At 47.3% G+C, this 18,323-nt stretch overlaps 1 protein-coding gene, 1 non-coding gene and 1 pseudogene across 35 annotated transcripts in view, besides 3 other annotated features; 2 read left to right on the top strand and 1 right to left on the bottom strand.

Annotated features, from left to right (window-relative positions):
- Positions 11,238-11,737: an enhancer, noted in NCBI's record as "H3K4me1 hESC enhancer chr11:9117363-9117862 (GRCh37/hg19 assembly coordinates)". NCBI's record gives its function as "activates a minimal SCP1, AML or CMV promoter by ChIP-STARR-seq in primed H9 embryonic stem cells {active_cell/tissue: H9 hESC(primed)}" and the evidence as "EXISTENCE:reporter gene assay evidence [ECO:0000049][PMID:30033119]".
- KRT8P41 (keratin 8 pseudogene 41) lies at positions 11,363-13,190 on the bottom strand (annotated as a pseudogene). The gene has a single exon (NR_027713.1). The product of NR_027713.1 is annotated as a keratin 8 pseudogene 41 (transcript).
- Positions 11,738-12,239: an enhancer, noted in NCBI's record as "H3K4me1 hESC enhancer chr11:9116861-9117362 (GRCh37/hg19 assembly coordinates)". NCBI's record gives its function as "activates a minimal SCP1, AML or CMV promoter by ChIP-STARR-seq in naive H9 embryonic stem cells {active_cell/tissue: H9 hESC(naive)}" and the evidence as "EXISTENCE:reporter gene assay evidence [ECO:0000049][PMID:30033119]".
- Positions 11,941-12,146: a silencer, noted in NCBI's record as "fragment chr11:9116954-9117159 (GRCh37/hg19 assembly coordinates)". NCBI's record gives its function as "represses an EF-1alpha promoter that drives an FKBP-Casp9 reporter gene in an ReSE screen in phorbol 12-myristate 13-acetate-treated (for megakaryocytic differentiation) K562 erythroleukemia cells {active_cell/tissue: K562(+PMA)}" and the evidence as "EXISTENCE:reporter gene assay evidence [ECO:0000049][PMID:32094911]".
- A 2,763-nt stretch (positions 13,191-15,953) lies between the features above and the next one.
- Positions 15,954-18,323, top strand: part of SCUBE2 (signal peptide, CUB domain and EGF like domain containing 2) — a 72,124-nt gene continuing 69,754 nt past the window's right edge. For all 33 annotated transcript variants that reach the window (XM_047427364.1, XM_047427365.1, XM_005253036.5 and 30 more), the window contains exons 1-2: positions 15,954-16,157; positions 17,724-17,846. In XM_047427364.1, the coding sequence (XP_047283320.1) occupies positions 16,025-16,157; positions 17,724-17,846 (256 nt within the window). In that variant the 5' untranslated portion in view covers positions 15,954-16,024. The remainder of the gene's footprint in view (positions 16,158-17,723; positions 17,847-18,323) is intronic.
- MIR5691 (microRNA 5691) lies at positions 17,174-17,241 on the top strand. Its single transcript, NR_049874.1, has one exon. It is a non-coding gene; the product is annotated as a microRNA 5691 (primary transcript).

Genomic DNA, 18,323 nt, shown 5'->3' with positions numbered 1-18,323 from the left:
GTCTCGAACTCCTGACCTCATGTGATCCACCCGTCTCAGCCTCCCAAAGTGCTGGGATTACAGGCGTGAGCCACCGTGCCCGGCCGAAAAGATAAATACTTTTAAAATTTAAATAGATAATTTGAGATTTATCTTTATAGAACTTATGTCAATATACACTCTCACCACCAATGTTTGAAATGCCTGTTTTCCCAGTCTCACTGTGAGAGTGTTATCAAACTTTGGATTTTTGTCAGTGTACTCAGTAAGTAAACATTTCTATCTTAGTGTTTTATTTTGTATTTTATTCATTATGCATGAGGCTAAGAATATTTTCATGTGTTTAAAATTTATTTATATTTCTTGTCTATCCATGTTCTTTGCCTATTTTCTGTTGGGTTACTTAGAAGTCTTATTGACCGCTAGTGACTCCTGTTATATATTAGGGAGATTACTTCTTTGTGATTTGATATGAAAACTTTTCCCTGGTTTAATATTTATTCTTCAACTTTACTTTCAGTGTTTTTTAAACATGCAGAGTAGTTTTTCGTTTTGGTACAGTTGAACTTCTTGATCTTATATAGCTTCTGGATTTTGGGTGATAGAAGGCTTTCCTTACTACAAGATGAAAGGTATTTTTCCATTTTTCTTTTAGCATTTGTGAGGTTTTTTTAAAAAAGTTAAATTTTTTACGCATTTGAAGTTAACCTAGAGAGCCATGAAGAGTGGATTCAACTTTATTTTTGTCTAAGTGGCTGCTTATTTGTCCCAGTACTGCTTATTTAGTGGTCCGTAATTTCTCCAATGACTTGAGATGTCAGTTTTATGATAGTGTATCCATATATGATTTTGAGACTATTTCTGAATGTGATATTCTACTCCATTAGCCTCTATCTGTCTCCAACTTACAGGCCAGCACTACATTGTTGTGATGACTGAGGCTTCATAACATCCTTTTACATCTAGGAGTACTGACCCACCTCCCCCTTGCTCCTTGCTCTTCTTTACATTTTTTATTGCTACTTTTGCTTCTTTCTTTTTCTATATGAACTTTTAGACTCAAATTTTTTAGCCAAAAAAGCCTATTCGTATGTTTGTTGGATTACATTAAAATTTTTAAATTAAGCGATGGAGAATTTACAGCTTTATGGTGTTGAGGATTTCTATCCAAGAGCGTGTTATATTTCCATTTGTTTAAATTTTTTGAGGGGGGTTATGTTTAGTAGCATGTTATACATTTTCCTCACATGGGCCTTGACTATTTCTTGCTAAGTTTGTTGCCAGGTATTGAATTTTTTTTGTTTCTAATAGAAATAAGGTCTTTTCTTGCACCATGTTACTTATATTGATAAAACTTGATGTTTGTAAATTAATTTTGTTCCTGACTAATTTTGTTGTATTTTCTTTTTGCTGTAGTAGATTTTTAGCATATTTCCTGGTGTTTTCAAGATATACAATTATATTTCCTGCAATAGTTCCTCTCTTCTAATTTTTATACCACTAGTTTATTTTAATCTAGTTGATTCACCCAACACACCCAGTAAAGTATTAAATAGTGTTGACATGACCATCTTTGTTTTGTTGTTTCAGAATTTAATGGAGACGCTTCTAGTGTTTCCCCATTAAGTCTGATGTTGGTATTGGGTCGAGATAATTTTTTTTTTCATGTTAAGATGGTATCTTTCTCTACCTTATTGAATGTTTTGATCAAGAATATTGTTTCAAATGCCTTTAGTGTCTATGGAGGTGATCATATGATTTCCCTCTCAAATCTATAATATTCAAATTTATTGTGATTAATTATGTAAGTAGATTTCATAATATTAAACCATACTTGCACCCTGAAATATATCCCACTTGGTTATGATGTTGAAATCTGATTGATAGTTCTTATTGAGGGTTCTTAACTTATGGTCATAAGTGATATTGATCTATAGCTTGCTTTTTTGTGTACAGTATTAAGTTTTGGTATCAATGGTATACTTGCTTCATAAAGAATTTGAAAGTTTTTTTCAATGCTTTGGAACAATTAAAAAACATTGGAATATTTACATTTTAAAAGTTTGTTCAAATTTCCCTTGTGAAATTGCCTGGGCCTGCTGTTTTTTTCAGGGGTAGGGTAACTCTTTGACAGTCTTCTCTATCTCTTCCATATAAATTGGCCTCCATCATTTCTTTGTCTTGAGGTCAGTTTTGTGTACATGGCTCTTCTGCTATTTAGGAATCTTGGATTTTTCTTCTTGTAGTTGCCTTTATAATTATAACCTTCTATGATGTCCTTTGCTCTCCATTTCTTTTTCTTTTTTTTTTTTTTTTTTTTTTTTGAGATGGAGTCTTGCTCTGTCGCCCAGGCTGGAGTGCAGTGGCACAATCTTGGCTCACTACAACCTCTGCCTCCTGGGTTCAGGTGATTCTCCTGCCTCAGCCTCCTGAGTAGCTGGGACTACAGGTGTGTGCCACCACGTCTGGCTAATTTTTTTTGTATTTTTAGTAGAGACGGGGTTTCACCATGTTAGCCAGGATGATCTTGATCTTCTGACCTCATGATCTGCCTGCCTCTGCCTCCCAAAGTGCTGGGATTATAGGCGTGAGCCACCGTGCCCGGCCTACTGGCCGTTTCTTTAGGTAGTGTCTATGACTTCCTGGTTACGAGAATAATAAAACGAGCTCAGATCCTAATACTTTATTCTTGAGAACCTGTATCTACTCTTTCAACAAACCTTTTCTGAGTGTCTGCTGTGTTCCAGACCTAGCTGAGCCTGGAAAATGCAGAGGTGAATCATAGAGACCACATGCCCTTATGAGGCTCGAAGTCCATAACCTGTGAAGGCAGTCATGGACTTTGACGGCTATGACTGTATGTTGGATGCTATGATTAGAATTTGTGCAGCAGACTGTGGGGACACACAAGAGAAGTGTCCACCCCAGGCCAGGAGGGGGTTTGTTAGGAAAGACTCTGGGAAGGTGATACTACAGCAAGTCTCAAAGGATGAGCTGTGGCCAGGAAGAATGTTCGAGGTAGAGGGGCTGGACAAAGGCTTGGAGTTGTGGAGCAGTTTGGGAGGGCTGGAAATTGGGTGCACTTGTTTGAGAGATGGGGCCTCACAAGGCTTGGATGAAAGACAAGAGGCAGATTATAAGGGCTCTTGATGGCCAGGCACAGTGGCTCATGCCTGTAATCCTGATACTTTGGGAGGCCAAGGCGGGCAGATCACTTGAGGTCGGGAGTTCGAGACCAGCCTGGCCAACATGGTGAAACCCCGTCTCCACTAAAAATATAAAAATTAGCCAGGCGTGGTGTAGTCCCAGCTACTCAGAAGGCTGAGGCAGGAGAATTGCTTGAACCTGGGAGGCAGAGGCTGCAGTGAGCCAAGATAGCGCCATTGTGCTCCAGCCTGGGCAACAAAAGGGAAACTCCGTCTCAAAAAAAAAAAAAAGGAGGGGGGAGGGTTCTCGAATGCCATATCCATGAGTGTGGCTGGCTTTCAGAGTGTGCAACCTGTACAGCCAGACAGATAGGGCCCTGTTCTCAGAAGGGCCCCATGTTTGGTGTTAGGCCTTGCTGTTACCATCTTGAAATTTCTAAATTTCATCTTTCAACTTGTGTTTTGTAACTAAAGTCTGGTGGGACAATGGTACATGCACATGAGTAGTGGAGACACACCAGGTGACAGCACTAGCACACATAGGGACAGGCCTGGCTGCTGGCTGCATGTGTGTATGTTTCAGGAGAAGTCCACGGCACTGTAGGGCTCCGAGCCAGCTGAGCTGGGCCTAGGGCCCATCACATCAGCTAAGACTGTGGCAACAGCCACAGTGACCACAGAAGAAAGCGGGTCTCTGCATGGGGACAGTGCATGGGAAGCTGCTTGCCTGTTCACTCCCAGACTGTGTTCCTTTGATAGCTACACAAATATTAACTCTCTGGCCTGAGCACTGGAACAGGAATTGCTAGTACTCACGCAGTAAACTTAGTCAGTAAATTATTACAAAATAAAAGCAAACACAAGGATATTGCAATAAAGCATAGCAGCATGTTTCAGAATTTTTTGAAGAGTTTAGAATCTCTGGTTTTTATTTATTTTATTTTTTTTAGAGACAAGGTCTCCCTCTGTCACCAAGGCTGGAGTGCAGTGGCTCAAGCTATCCTCCCGCCTTGGTCTCCCAAGTAGCTGAGACTGCAGGCATGCACTACCGTACCCAGCTAATGTTTTTATTCTGTAGAGACAGAGGTCTTGCTATGTTACCCAAGTTAGTCTCAAACTCTTGGGCTCAAGTGATTCTCTTGCCTTGGCTTCCCAAAGTGTTGGGATTACAGGCGCGAGCTACCATGCCCAGCCTCTGATTTTTAAAACTGCTGCAACATAACAAAGCAAATATCTGCAGGCTTAGGGACAGAAACCGAATATAAAAATCATTGCATTAGATTGAAAAGAGCCCTATTTTCGTAGGAAGTTTCAGATTAAGCAATTATTAACAAGGAAGACAATTTTAAAATAAATTTTTCCTTGTAATTGAAGATACAGAAATATTATACATAAACAGGACTTCTGAATTACATACAAATCATGAAACCACTTTCAGCTTCTTATTTAACCTCCACATGTTACAAGAAGTGTCAAAGAAAACATTAAAATGACATTGTGTAAGTGTACATTAAAATTAAATTCAGATTTACACAAAAATGACTTGTATGAAAAGTTAAATCTTTTTAGAAAAATAATTCCACAAGAATTATCAGTTCTAGATGTACTAAAACAGATCCAGTAACAGGTAGATCCAATAAGAGATCCACTAGAAATTACATCCCTAGCAAGATCCTTCTGAAAATTGAAAATTATAAAAAATTGTCACCTTTAATTTGCCAAGAACAATTGATATACCTTCAATTATACTGACTAAAAATGAAGATCCTAAAAGTATACATTTTGACGACCTCTTTGATTTTTGCAGAAAATGATTTGTGGAAATGATTTTGTGGAAAAATGAGCCAGAAAAATCTTATGATGAATCAAGATACCACATGAATGGAGCAATTTTTTTTTTCGAGACAAGCTCTTGCTCTGTCCCCCAGGCTGGAATGCAGTGGTGCAATCATAGCTCACTGTTACCTCGATTTCCCTGGCTCAAGCGATCCTCCTGCCTCAGCCTTCCAAGTAGCTAGGACTACAGGTGGGTACCACCACACCCAGTTAATTTTTTTATCTTTTGGAGAGACAAGGTCTCACTGTATTGCCCAGGCTGGTCTCAAACTCCAGGGCTCAACTATCCTCCTGCCTTGGCCTCCCAAAGTGCTGGGATTACAGGTGTGTGCCACTCCTCTTGGCCTAATGGAGCATTTTTATTTGTTGTATTGCATAACATTATGACACCAAAATACTACCTTTTTGCAGTTTGTAAATTTATGTTTTTACTCGTGTTACCCCTATTATGTTTTACAAGTAATGTTTTTAAAAGAAAAAACTATTTTTAGTGCTCTTAATAGCATCTTCCCCCTGCATTTTGGTTAAGGCACCTTGCATTTTAATTTTGCACGGGGCCCTGCAAATTATGCAGCTGCTCCTGCCCCTTAGGTTGGTCTACGGTACAGGTAATGTAGGTGAAGGGGCTTTAAGGAGTTTTAAACCGACACTGTCATATTCATATTTTGGAAGAGGTGTGGAAGATGAACACCCATTATGTCTCACCTTTTTTGCTGGACTGTAAGCTCTGAGAGGGCAGAGTTTGCCTCTAATCTTTGTGTCTCCCATAGGGCTTAGCACAATGCCTGGCACACGATGGGCTGTAGAGCGCATTGGTTAGGCAGGGGGATCAGAAGCCAGGCTTCTTGGCATTGAGTCCTGGTCTGCCACTTACTAACAAATTACCTAACCTCTCTTCCCTTCACTGTCCATATCTGTAAAATACAGAGTGTGATGGTTCTATTTCGCAGAGTTTTTAGGAAGACTAGATAAATACATGTGAAGTATTTAGAATAGTATCTGATATTTAGTATTCATTCAAATGTTAACTATTATCATTTTAAGTAAATATTTATTGGAAGGATTTTTAAACTTCTGTAAGCAAAAAAGAATGTGGGTGCAGTTTTAGAAACATTGAAGAAATAGAGGGTCCTGGCATGCATGCCAAGATTGCATCAACTTTTGTGACTAAAATAATAATTTATTATTTCAGCCCCTGAGAGGATTCAACCCTACACAATTACCTTTCTCCCACCTTATGGAGAGGATTGCCTAATGGAGGCGTATATAGAACTAAATAGGAATACTTTTTTGGCTAAAACAATAGGAAACTCAATTCAAAAAACTCACAATGAAATACCACTTCATGTCTGTTAGGATGGCTATTATTGGAAAATTGGGAAATTACAAGTGTTGGTAAGGATGCGGAGAAATTGGAATCCTTATGCCCTGCTGGTGGGAATATGAAATGGTGTAGTTGGTAAGGTAAACGTTATGGTAGTTCTCCCCAAAATTAAAAAGAATTACCATCTGATCCAGCAATTCAGTATATACTGAAAAAAAAATTGAAAGCAGAGACATGGACAGATATTTGCACACCCATATTCATAGCAGCATTATTTACAATAGCCCAAAGGGAGAAGCAACCCAAGTGTCTGTGGACAGATGAATGGATGAACAAAATGTGATACATACATGCAATCAAATCTTATTTAGCCTTAGAAAGGAATGATATTCTGACACATGCTCAACACAGGAGAACCTTGAAGCCATTATGCCAAGTTAAGTAAGCCAATCATGAATACTTTGTTATTCCACTCATATGAAATACTTAAAGTAGTCAAATTCATAGGAACAGAAAGTAGAATGGTGGTTGTCAGGTGGAGTGGGATGGGGAGTTATTGTTTAATAGGTAGAGATTCAGTTTTGCAGGATGAAGGAAGTTCTGGGGATGGCTGGGCGCGGTGGCTCACGTCTGTAATCCCAGCACTTTGGGAGGCCAAGGTGAGAGGATCATCTGAGTTCGAAACCAGCCTGGCCAAAATAGCAAAACCCTGTCTCTACTGAAAATACCAAAAAAAGAAAAAAAAAAATTAGCTGGGCATGGTGGCAGGCGCCTGTAATCCCAGCTACTCGGAGGCTGAGGTAGGAACATGGCTTGAACCTAGGAGGCGGAGCTTCCAGTGAGCCGAGATCTCGCCACTGCACTCCAGCCTGGGTGACAGAGCGAGACTCAGTCTCAAAAAAAAAAAAAAAAAAAAGTTCTGGAAATGGATGGCCGTGATGGTTACAAAGCAATGTGAATGTATTTAATGCTAATAAGCTGTGCAGTTAAAAATGGTTAAAACAGTAAATTTTATGTATGTTTTACCACAATTTTAAAAATCAAAATAAACCCACCAATACAAACAATAAGGAAGCGTATTGGCACATATAACTGGAGGTCCTGAGGTAGGGAGTGTTTCCTGGTTGGCTTCTCAGGGTTTCTCTGGACTTAACCTCTTTTGGGGAGGGGAAGGAGGTGTCAAGACGGCTGCCACAGTTTCTCATTCACCACAACCACATGCCAAAAAGGAAAAGTCTCTCTATTCCAGCCTTTGAAGCAAAGGGCCTGAGATTCACTCTGATTGGAAAGCCGTCACGTACTTATCCTTGAACCAATGACTGTTGGAATAATAGGCATTATTGTCTTAAGCCAACTCCAGAGCCTGCAGTTAGAGATGGGACAGCTTCCCTCCTAGGGACACAGGCTGCCTGCGAGAGGGGTGAGTGTCTGTTAGGAAGGAGGGAAAGAACAGATGGGGACGGGTAAGCAACCAGAAAGATTTACTACCTCATAGCCAGCTCAGACATATTGAAAAGGTTTTTCCAGAAGATAAGGAAGCCATTCATGGGGAGAAATTAATGTGTGTGCAAGAGCAGATAGTTTTCCTTTATTTATTAGTTCTCAGTGCCTGCTAATCTGAAGACTCAATTTTTTTGTTTGTTTGTTTTTTTGTTTGTTTGTTTGAGATGGAGTCTCACTCTGTTGCCTGGGCTGGAGTGCAGTGGAGCGATCTTGGCTCACTGCAACCTCCGCCTCCCGAGTTCAAGCAATTCTCCTGCCCCAGCCTCCCAAGTAGCTGGGACTACAAGCACCCGCCACTTAGCCCGCTAATTATTATTATTATTATTATTATTTTTTTGTATTTTTAGTAGAGACAGGGTTTCACCATGTTGGCCAGGCTGGTCTTGAACTCCTGACATTGTGATTCACCTGCCTCGGCCTCCCAAAGTGCCGGGATTACAGGCGTGAGCCATTGTGCCCAGCCAACTCAAATTTTTTCATGCATGCCTCATTGCTTTTTGGGAGAACATCTCAGCAAATGTGTTTTTCCTTGGAGTATAGTGATATTTATTAATCTAGATGTTGTTGCATTTTGTTTTTTCAAATATTTGTTGAGACCCACTTCCTCATGTCTTTCAGGCAGAGGGAACAGTGTCAGCAAAAGAAGATATGTATAAGGAGAAAAATGACAAACTACTAGTATGTGAAGTTTGATGTCAGTGGAGCGTAGTCTGCGGGTAAAGGAGTGGTAGGAGAGAAGGCTGGAAAGATAGAATGGGATCAGATCATAAAGGTCTTGAGCTAGGCAGTACTTGCTTCAACTTACTGATGTAAAACATACATACAGTCAAGAGCATGAAGTGCATTAAGCTTAAGCCAACATTCCCGCAGATTTGTACATATGTATAAACCCATAAAATCACCATGCAGATCAAGATCTAGAACATTTCCAGCACTCCAGAATGTTCCTTCACATTCCTTCCCAGATAAACAAAATGTCAATATACATCCCTGGAGGGAACAGTAGTAGTAATTCTGGCTTCTGTCACTATTAATTAGTTCTGCCTGTTCTGGTTTTTTTTCTTTCTTTGAGACAGGGTCTTGCTCTGTTGTCCAGGCTGGAGTGCAGTGATGCAATCTCAGCTCACTGCAACCTCTGCCTCCTGGGCTCAAGTGATCCTCCCACCTCAGCCTCTGGAGTAGCTAAGATTACAGGCATGCATCAGCAAACCTGGCTGATTTTTTATTTTTTATTTTTGGAGACGAGGTCTCGTTCTGTTGCCATGACAGGAGTGCAGTGGTGCAATCTCAGCCTACTGCAACCTCTGCTTCCTGGGTTCAAGCTATCCTTCTGCCTCAGCCTCCCAAGTAGCTGGGACTACATGCTCATGCCACCATGCCTGGCTAATTTTTTGTGTATTTTTAGTAGAGACGGGGTTTCACCATGTAGACCAGACTGGTCTCGAACTCCTTACCTCAGGTGATCAGCCCACCTCAGTCTCCCAAAGTGCTGGGATTACAGGTTTGAGCCACACTGCCCGGCCCCTGGCTGATTTTTAAAAACTTTTTGGTAGAGATGAGGTCTCGCTGTGTTGCTCAGGCTTGTCTTGAATTCCTGAGCTCAAGTGATCCACCCACCCTGGCCTCCCAAAGTACTGGGATTACAGGTGTGAGCCACCACACCCAGCAGAACATCATAGAAGTGAATAGAATTGTTACGGGCGGGTCTTTGTTCTTAGAGCTCCCAAGATGGGGCGGGCCGCTCCCAAAATGGTAGCAAGCCTTTTGTTCTCTGACCTGGGGTTCTTGGCCTCACGGATTCCAAGGAATGGAACCTTGGGCCATGAGGTGAGTGTTATAGCTCTGTTAGAAGCCGTGGGTCATGGAAGAGAACCGTGGAACCAGCAACTAGTGTTCAGCTCGATTAGGACAAATCCTGGGCCCTTAGTCATGCAGGAACAATGGCGTGCCTTTAGCCTGATAGGGAGTGGCAGTGGGCGCCTCGCTGGATCAGGAGTGCAGTGAACACCCTGCCGGATCTGGAGGGGTGGAAGTCAGCGGCGGGTCTGCGACGGTGGCAAACAGCAGTGGTGGACTGCGAGCGAAAGCTCAGCTCGAGCCATAACAAACACGGACCAGAAGAGTGTGCAGTTGCAAGATTTAATGGAGTGAAAACAGAGCTCCCATATAATGGGAAGGGACCCAAAGGGGGTTGCCGCTCCCTGCCGGGATGCCTGGGTTTATATCCCGATCATTGTCCCTCCCCCTGTGCTCTCAGGCGATATATGATTTGACTATTTATTTACCTCCTGCTTTTGGCCTAATTTGTATTTTAGTGAGCACTCTTTACTTCCTGATTGGTTGGGTGCGAGCTGAGTTACCAGCCCTGTGTTTAAACGTGGGTGTGGTCACCTTCCCCAGGTAGGCTTAGGAATTCTTAGTCGGCCTAGGAAATCCAGCTAGTCCTGTCTCTCAGAATGATACTACTTGCACCCTTTTTAACCTGGCTTCTTTAACTAGGCCTAATGTTCATAAGGTGCCTCTGTGTGGCTGCCTGTATCAGAGTTTGTTCGTTTTGTTGCTTGGTGTAGTATTCCATTGAACAAATATCCCACAATATGTTCATTATCTAGTTGATGGACATGTGGGTGATTTCCAGTTTGGGGCTAGTGTAAATACAGCCGTTATGAATGTTCTCGTATATGAATTTGGTGAACATGTACACTCATTTCTCTTGGGTATATTCTGAGAAGTGGGCATGCATGATCCATATTAGTGTATACTGCCCGGCAGTTCTCCAGAGTGATTGTACCAAGGGAGCTTGGATGTTAGCCTGAGGAAGACTGGGAGTGATATGATGAAACTTACTTTTAACTCTGGCAGCCACTGTGTTGAATGTACTGAATTGGGATGAGATTCTAGACAGAGAGACCTGTAAGAAATCGCAGACTAGGTGCAACCAGAGTGTCTCCTGGTTGGCTTCTCAGGGTTTCTCTGGACTTACCCTCTTTTGGGCAAGGGAAGGAGGTATTAAGATGGCTGCCACAGTTTCTCATTTACCACAGCCACATCCCAAAGAGAAAAAGAGAGCCTTTCCATTCCAGCCTTTCAAGCAAAGGGCCTGAGATTTGCTCCGATTGGAAATCCGTCACGTGCTCATCCCTGAACCAATGACTGTTGCAGGGGGAATGGAATGAATGATATCAATTGTCTTAAGTCAACTCCAGAGCCTGAAGTTAGAGATGGGGCAGCTTCCTTCCTAGGGACACGGGCTGTCTGCAGGAGGAGTGAGTATCTGTTAGGAAGGAGGAAAGGGATAGATACACAGCCCCCAGGGGTGATGAGGGATGGCGAACCCCTGAGCTCAGGCAATGGGCACAGAGGAAGAGAATGGTTTTAAGAGACAATAAGAAGGTAGAATTTTCTTGATTGTTCGGATGTGGTGGGGAGGGAGATAATGGAGTCCCAGATGACCGCCAAACCTCTGACTTGGTGTTAACAGAATGGTGGTGCCCTTGTCTAAAGGAGAGAGCACTTGAGAAGGAGCAGGTTTGAGGAAGATGAGCTCCATTTGTTTGTTTGTTTTGGACAGTTGGCAGAGCTAGCTGAGATTTTATTTTGAAAAAAAAAAAAAAAAAAGCAACAATTGAATTGTTTTGTAGCTGGAAGCATGGCCAATGGGGGTGCCCCAGGCAGTAAACTCCCCCAGCAGGTGGGCTGAGGGCTAGGGCTGAGCCTCAGGTGAGTCTCCTGTTCCTGTGCTCCACTGCACAGCGGCTTCCTCCACGGGCCCTGGGGCAGCCGCAGGAGGGGCAGGCTGGTAGGGGCTGCCATGGCCATTCACTTGGGCAGGACATCAGAGGACTTGGACACTAGCTTGCCATCTCGCGTTTCCACCTTCTTCACAACCATGGACCTGGAGAAGCTGGCGCGGCTGAAGGAGCTGGAGCCTCCACCAGTGCCAAAGCTGGAGCCCAGGCTGTAGCTAAGGCCTGTTGTAGAGGGCTTGTGAGGTGCCCGTGGGTCGAGCTCAGCCCACCTGAGTAGCCACTGGTGGTCTTCAGATGGACACTCATGTTCTGTATCCCAGACCCCAGCTAGCTCTCCTCGCCCTCCAGCAGCTTCCTGTAGGTGGCGATCTTGATGTCCAGGGCCAGCTTGACGTTCATCAGCTCCTGGTGCTCCATGGCACAGCTGCTGCACCATGTCTTGCTCGGCCCGCTGCAGGGCGGCCTCCAGCTCGACAGCTTCGTGTTGGCATCCTTAACAGCCAGCTCCCCATACTGCTCAGCATCTGCGATGGCAGCCTCCAGGGAAACCCTCTGGCCTTTGAGGCCCTCAGTCTGAGCCTGGAGCCGGCTGATGTTCCTATTAATCTCAGAGATCTCCATCTTTGCATAACGCAGGTCATTCCTATGCTTCCCAGGCAGTGTCTGCAGCTCCTCATACTTGATCTGATGCATGCCCTCAGCCTCAGCCCAGCTGCCATTGGCGATCTCCTTGTACTGCGCCTTGACCTCAGGGATGATGCTGTCCATGTCCAGGGAGCGGCTGCTGTCCATGGACAGCACCACAGATGTGTCCGAGATCTGGGACTGCAGCTCCCAGATTTCCTCTTCATATAGCTGCCTGAGGAAGTTGATCTCGTCAGTCAGCCCTTCCAGAAGAGACTCCAGCTCTACCTTGTTCATGTTAGCTTCAGCCACGTTACCTTCTTGATGAGGACAAATTCATTCTCCATCTCTGTACGCTTATTGATCTCATCCTCATACTTGTTCTTGGAGTCCTCCACCAGCCTCTGCATGTTGCCAAGCTTCAGCTTCTCCTGGCCCAGAGTGTCCAGCTACCGCCGAAGTTTGTTGATGTGGCTCTCGAATATGCTGTCCATGTCGCTCTGAGCTGTCTTCTGCTGCTGCAGGAGGCTCCACTTGGTCTCCAGCATCTTGTTCTGCTGCTCCAGGGACCGCACCTTCTCGATGAAGGAGGCAAACTTGTTGTAGAGGGTCTTGATCTGCTCCTTCTCCTGGGCGCACACAGCCTGGATGTTGGGGTTCACCTCCAGCTTAAGGGGGCTCAGCAGGTTCTGGCTGACCATGATGGCTGTGATGCCCCCCATACCACTGGCCCCACCATAGCCTCCACCCAGAGCCATGCGGGTGCCCAGGCCACCCCGGAAGCTGCTGCTGCCGCCCACTTGAGAGAAGCTCCAGGAGCTGATATGGGCACCAGGCCCGCTTGTGTAGGAGCGGCTGCTTAAGGCCTAGGGGCCAGAGGTGGACACCCTGTAGGACTTCTGGGTCACCCTGATGGACATGGTGGAGGCAGTAGTGGAGGGGTGGGTGGGCTGAACCAGGCAGAGATTCGAGAAAGCAGAGAAGCTTCTTCTAGGTCATGAGCTTCGTTTTGAACATGTTCAATCAGAGGGATCTAGGGAAGATCAAGGTGGGATCTAGGGAAGATCAAGGTGGTATCTAGTAGGCAACTGGATACATGGGATTGAACCAAGGGGATGAATCCAGGCTGGAGATTGACATTATGGAATCAAGGGAATGAGTGAACCATCCAGAGAGAGGGTATAGAAAGAGGACTCCTAGAAGATGGTGGAGAAGGCATTTCCTGAGAGGTAGGAGGAAAACCAGGAGTTTGCCACGATGACAACCAAGGGTAAGGAGAGTTTCCACCAGGGAGAAGTAGTCCACATGTCAGAGGCTGCTGGGGGCGGGGGGGGAGTCAAGAAAGGTGGGCACTGAATGGTGTCCCATGAGTGCAGAGTGGCACCTGCTTATGTGTAGTTCAGGGGCACGCATGGCCGGCCACTACCAGGCTTTCTTCAGCCTCCTCAAAGGCCCACACCAGTGTGACTGGGCTGGCTGGACTGCCTCTTCGCACCCCTGAGGCCTGGTTCATGGCCTCTCAGCCTGTGGAGAGGAGACAGGGAGAGGAAGAGGGAGCTTTAGCCTCAGTCCAGGGACGGTGTCTGAGGCCTTTCTGAGAAGTTTGTGGGGACCTCAGCTGCAGAATAGAGGGCAGCCTGCAGCCAGAGTAGAGCCAACCAAGTTCCTCCTGACACCAAAAACACTGACATTTGGACACAGTTTTCCCCTGGAGCTTCCCCCTGTGGAAATTCCCGGTTGTAAGCCATATTGACTTTAATCTCAAGTGTCAAAAAGGTTGCCCAGGAGTCTGGGAGCCAACAGCTGAAAGCACGTTTGTAAGGATGTCAGCGCAAACAAAATAGGATACAGAACATTTTTTGAGATCTGTGCCAGTGGTGGACTTTTCTGGGAAACATGACAAAAGCTGACAGTCTTAGGCAAAAAGGCGCTGATTCTTGTCATTATTAATTTATGTCCTTACTGAAAGATCAAGTTAGGGAAAGGTAAAGGGGAAGAATAGCACATGTGTGATTTCTTTGCCAGGCACAAGGGCGCTGCAGGAGGCTCCCCCTAGAGTTTAATGGGCAGCTTTATGTATTTATATGCTTTAACTGGAGCTAAAGAGGTCTGTGCCACACAATGGGCAGTTTCTAGTTGGATTTTAAAAGAAATAACTTTGATCATTTCAAAAGCAATGAAGCCTGATGCAGTGGAGAGAAAAGAAGGCAGTAATTTATGGCTACCATTAAGGACACAAAGACAAAGGTGGAGAGAACGTTTCACTAACTGAAGATTTACAAATGTGTAAAAACCACCCTTATGACCAGAAATAGCTGAGTGTCTCTCTCAGCACCAAACAAAAGGGAGTGGGAGGGAGGCGCAGACAGAAAGAGGGACGCAACCTGCCTGCCTTCACTGAAAGGGTCAAAAGAAAAACAACTACAGAAAAGTTATTTTCTCAGATAGCTCCATCAAGCAGCTGCACTAGCCACAGCCCAAAGAGGCAGGCCCCCGTGGGCATGTTCGGGGGCTGGGGTGGCAGACAGTGGGTACTGAGGGTGCAGAGGCTGGGAGCTCTGGGCTGTGGATAGGCCCCAAGAAGACATAAGAGTTTTTGTGCATGAGCTAGGTGGGGATTTTTTGGTGACATCTATTTTTTTTCTGATCTCCAAAGGAATGGTGTGTGTGTGTGTGCGCGCGTGCGTGTGCCTGCATATATACATATGTGTATGTATATAATCGCAGGAGAAAATTGAATAAATACGGAGAAGCTCAGTGAAGAACATTACTATCCCTAAGTGTGATGTTTGGTTGCGTCCGGAAATTGTTACTATATTTGTTCCTGGAGTGATGGTGGGTGTATTGGGCTCCAGCCATCCGTGTCAAGTGTGATATGGGAAGACCCTGTGTACCTGTTCCCTTGCAAGGACTGTCTTTCATGGAAGGCTAGGTGCTAGGCCCTGCCTGTGTTTGAAGCTAGCCAGACCTGATGTTTATGAGTTCAGGTGATCGTAAATGCCACCTGTACTCCGGCAAAGTCGGGGCTGCTGTCTGTTGTCTCTGGTGGCTCACCTTTGACCTCTAGCCCCCTTCCCCTTAGGCTGCCCTGAGATATACATAAGTAGCTTGCAGGGATTCTAGGCCCAGTGTGCCCCACAGTGGGACAAGTGGACCAGTGCCCTCAGGGCTGTGGGATGGAGGATCCCAGAGGGCCTGGGGTGGGCAGTGTGGAGAAGGGTGCAGAGGGTGTGCTGGGGTGGGCAGAGAAGCCAGGGTCACCTTCTCCATTCAAACAGCTGTTTTCCCGAATTGGAAGTCACCCCCAATTCCTTCCACTCCCACCTCCCACCTCCCACGTGGAAAGCCCCAAGATGGCTTTGGGGTTTGGGGACTATACGGAACACTTTCTGGGCGCCCTGACCCCGAATATTTCAATCTAGAAGGGCTGTTTGTCCTCACATGAGGGCCTGGGTCGAGTTGTAACACACTGGAACAGGCGCGGCACCGAGGGCTCCGAGCGTTGGAGCGGAGCGGGGATGCGGGGGGCAGCGGGCTGGGTGCCAGGGCTGCGCGGGGCGCGAGGCACGGTGCTGCCGCCCCGCCAGGCTGACAGCCGCGCTCGGGCCACCGCGGCCGCGCCCCCTCCACCCGAGGCCGGGGAGGGGACGGGAGGAGGCCGGGCGGGGCGGCACTGCTCCCGCCTGCGCTTCCCGCCCCGGCCCGGGAGGGACCGTGTGAAAATGAGGCCGGGGCTCGGGGGGCGGGCGGGGCCGGGCCGGGGGTGGCAGCGGCAGCGGGCAGGGCGTCCGCGCACACCTCCCCGCGCCGCCGCCGCCACCGCCCGCACTCCGCCGCCTCTGCCCGCAACCGCTGAGCCATCCATGGGGGTCGCGGGCCGCAACCGTCCCGGGGCGGCCTGGGCGGTGCTGCTGCTGCTGCTGCTGCTGCCGCCACTGCTGCTGCTGGCGGGGGCCGTCCCGCCGGGTCGGGGCCGTGCCGCGGGGCCGCAGGAGGGTGAGTGTCCGGCCGCGGGGGCGCACCTGGCACAGCAGGCAGGGCCAGGAAGAGTGTTTAGGTCCCCGGCGGAGTCCAGAGCCGGGCGCGCGGGGCTCGGGGCTGGCGGCTGCAGCTCCGCGGGGGCCTCTGCTCCCCCCGGGACCTCACCCGCCGGCCGGGCCAAGGCGCCACGACCGCTGGGGCCCTGAGTCCTTCGGCCCGGCCTCGGACCCGGAGCTGCTGACGGTTCCCGCCCCGGTCCGGATGCCTCCAGAGCGCCTGCTAGTCAGACCGTCGCCGGCGAGCAGGCAGGAGGGTGCGGACCCTGGCCTTGGGGTCCCGCGCCTCAGCGTAGGCGGGGAAACTGAGGGCCGGGCCGGGCACATCCGCGAGGCGGTGGCAGCTTTGCCGTTTCTTTCTTTGGGGGCCGGCAAGTTCTGCTGATGGCTTCGGGGTGGGCTCCAGAGACTTTTCTGTCAGCGGAACAGCGCCTGTTCCGATCTGGGAATTACCCTGAAGCAGCAACAAGCCTAGGTTTTCAGCAGAGAACTTTGGTTTCCAGAGAGGACTCTGGACGTGCTGTGCTTACTGGACTTGCAATACTTTCAAAATGCTTTTGTTTTTAATTAATATCCTGGAGTAGTGTCAACCCAGGAAATACTTCTGCCAAGGCGGGTTTCCAGGTTGAGAGGATGGGCAGGGGTGGGAGTGCAGGGGGCCGGCCATGGGGACACCATCCCCGCTTCGCAGCATCTGAGAGCCCTGGATGACATCTGCTCCGATCCCGGGGCAGACTTCCCATAAATACTCTAAACCAGCGGGGTGCAATCTTTTGGCTTACCTGGGCCACAGTGGAAGAAGAAGAATTGGGCCACACATAAAATATACCAACACAAACGACAGCTGATGAGCAAAAAAAAAAAATAAATAAATAAATAAAAAAAAAATCTCATAATGTTTTAAGAAAGTTTATGAATTTGCATTGGGCCGCATTCAAAACTGTCCTGGGCTGCACGTAGCCCACGGGCTGTGTTGGACAAGCTTGCTCTGAGCTCCGAGAAAGCTGACAGACAGCTGCTTGGTGTTCAGAGCTTGTCTGTCCGTTTGGTCCTTTCCTCCTTTAGCGGGCATGTAGGTACTATTGCCTACTCACATGCCAGGTACTGCGCTGGCTTGGCATAAGGGACACAGACGCAGTCTGTTGTCAAGACATTGTCTAGTGGAGAGAGAGGAAGGAAAACAGTGACAACCCTGCCTGATGTGTGCATGCAAAGCCATACATATGCGAGCACTTGGTGAGGGCAGCTACAATGGGGGTCATGGCAGGCTTCCTGGAGGAGGTGGATTTGAGCTAAGTCCTGAAGGCCAGTAGGTGATGGTGGGGGTAATTTCACGTAGAGTGTCCGGGCTGTTCCTGGAAACAGGGACCCAGAAACAGTTTGGTTTATCCCAGGGATCCCAAGCAGCTGTAGCTTGTGAGGAGTGAAGCGGGGTGGGCTGGTGAGGATGATGCCAGACAGGGCCGAGGCCAGATCACACATGGCCTGGGAGCCTGTACCAGGTGTCAGCTGTGCTCTTTTGCAGATGTAGATGAGTGTGCCCAAGGGCTAGATGACTGCCATGCCGACGCCCTGTGTCAGAACACACCCACCTCCTACAAGTGCTCCTGCAAGCCTGGCTACCAAGGGGAAGGCAGGCAGTGTGAGGGTAAGTGCCTTGGGGACCATGTGGGGGGACTGTAGGGAAGCTCCTACCTCCTTAGCTCTTGCAGTGGCCACTTATGTTGGTAAAAGTACTGCCCCTCCTCTCCCTTTCCCCCAGCCCCTGAATCACATCACCTGCTCTCTGAAATATATTTCAGATCTTGGACTGGAAACATTAGGTCTTCCCCAGAGCTGCTCACACAGTTTTATCTGGCTCTGAAATGTCCTTTTGTCTAGCTTCTGGAAAAGAAAAGAGATGTGTTAGTATCTTTGGGTCCCACTCAGTTTTGGGGCAGAAAGTAAACATCCATGCTGATCAGGAGAGCCATGCCTGCCAGAGCAGGGCTGATCCTGCACCTCCCTGGGGCGGTTTGTACCTTTGCCCTGAAGTCTGAGTGCTAGAGAGTCCTGCCCTCCCCTACCAGCTCAGGAGGCTCCATCCTGTTTATGGCTTTGGCCACAATGTTTGGCATTGTGACGT

The sequence above is a fragment of the Homo sapiens genome, chromosome 11 (genome assembly GCF_000001405.40).
Source record: "Homo sapiens chromosome 11, GRCh38.p14 Primary Assembly".
Lineage (NCBI taxonomy): Eukaryota > Metazoa > Chordata > Mammalia > Primates > Hominidae > Homo > Homo sapiens.
This window is presented reverse-complemented; position numbering and strand designations above follow the sequence as displayed.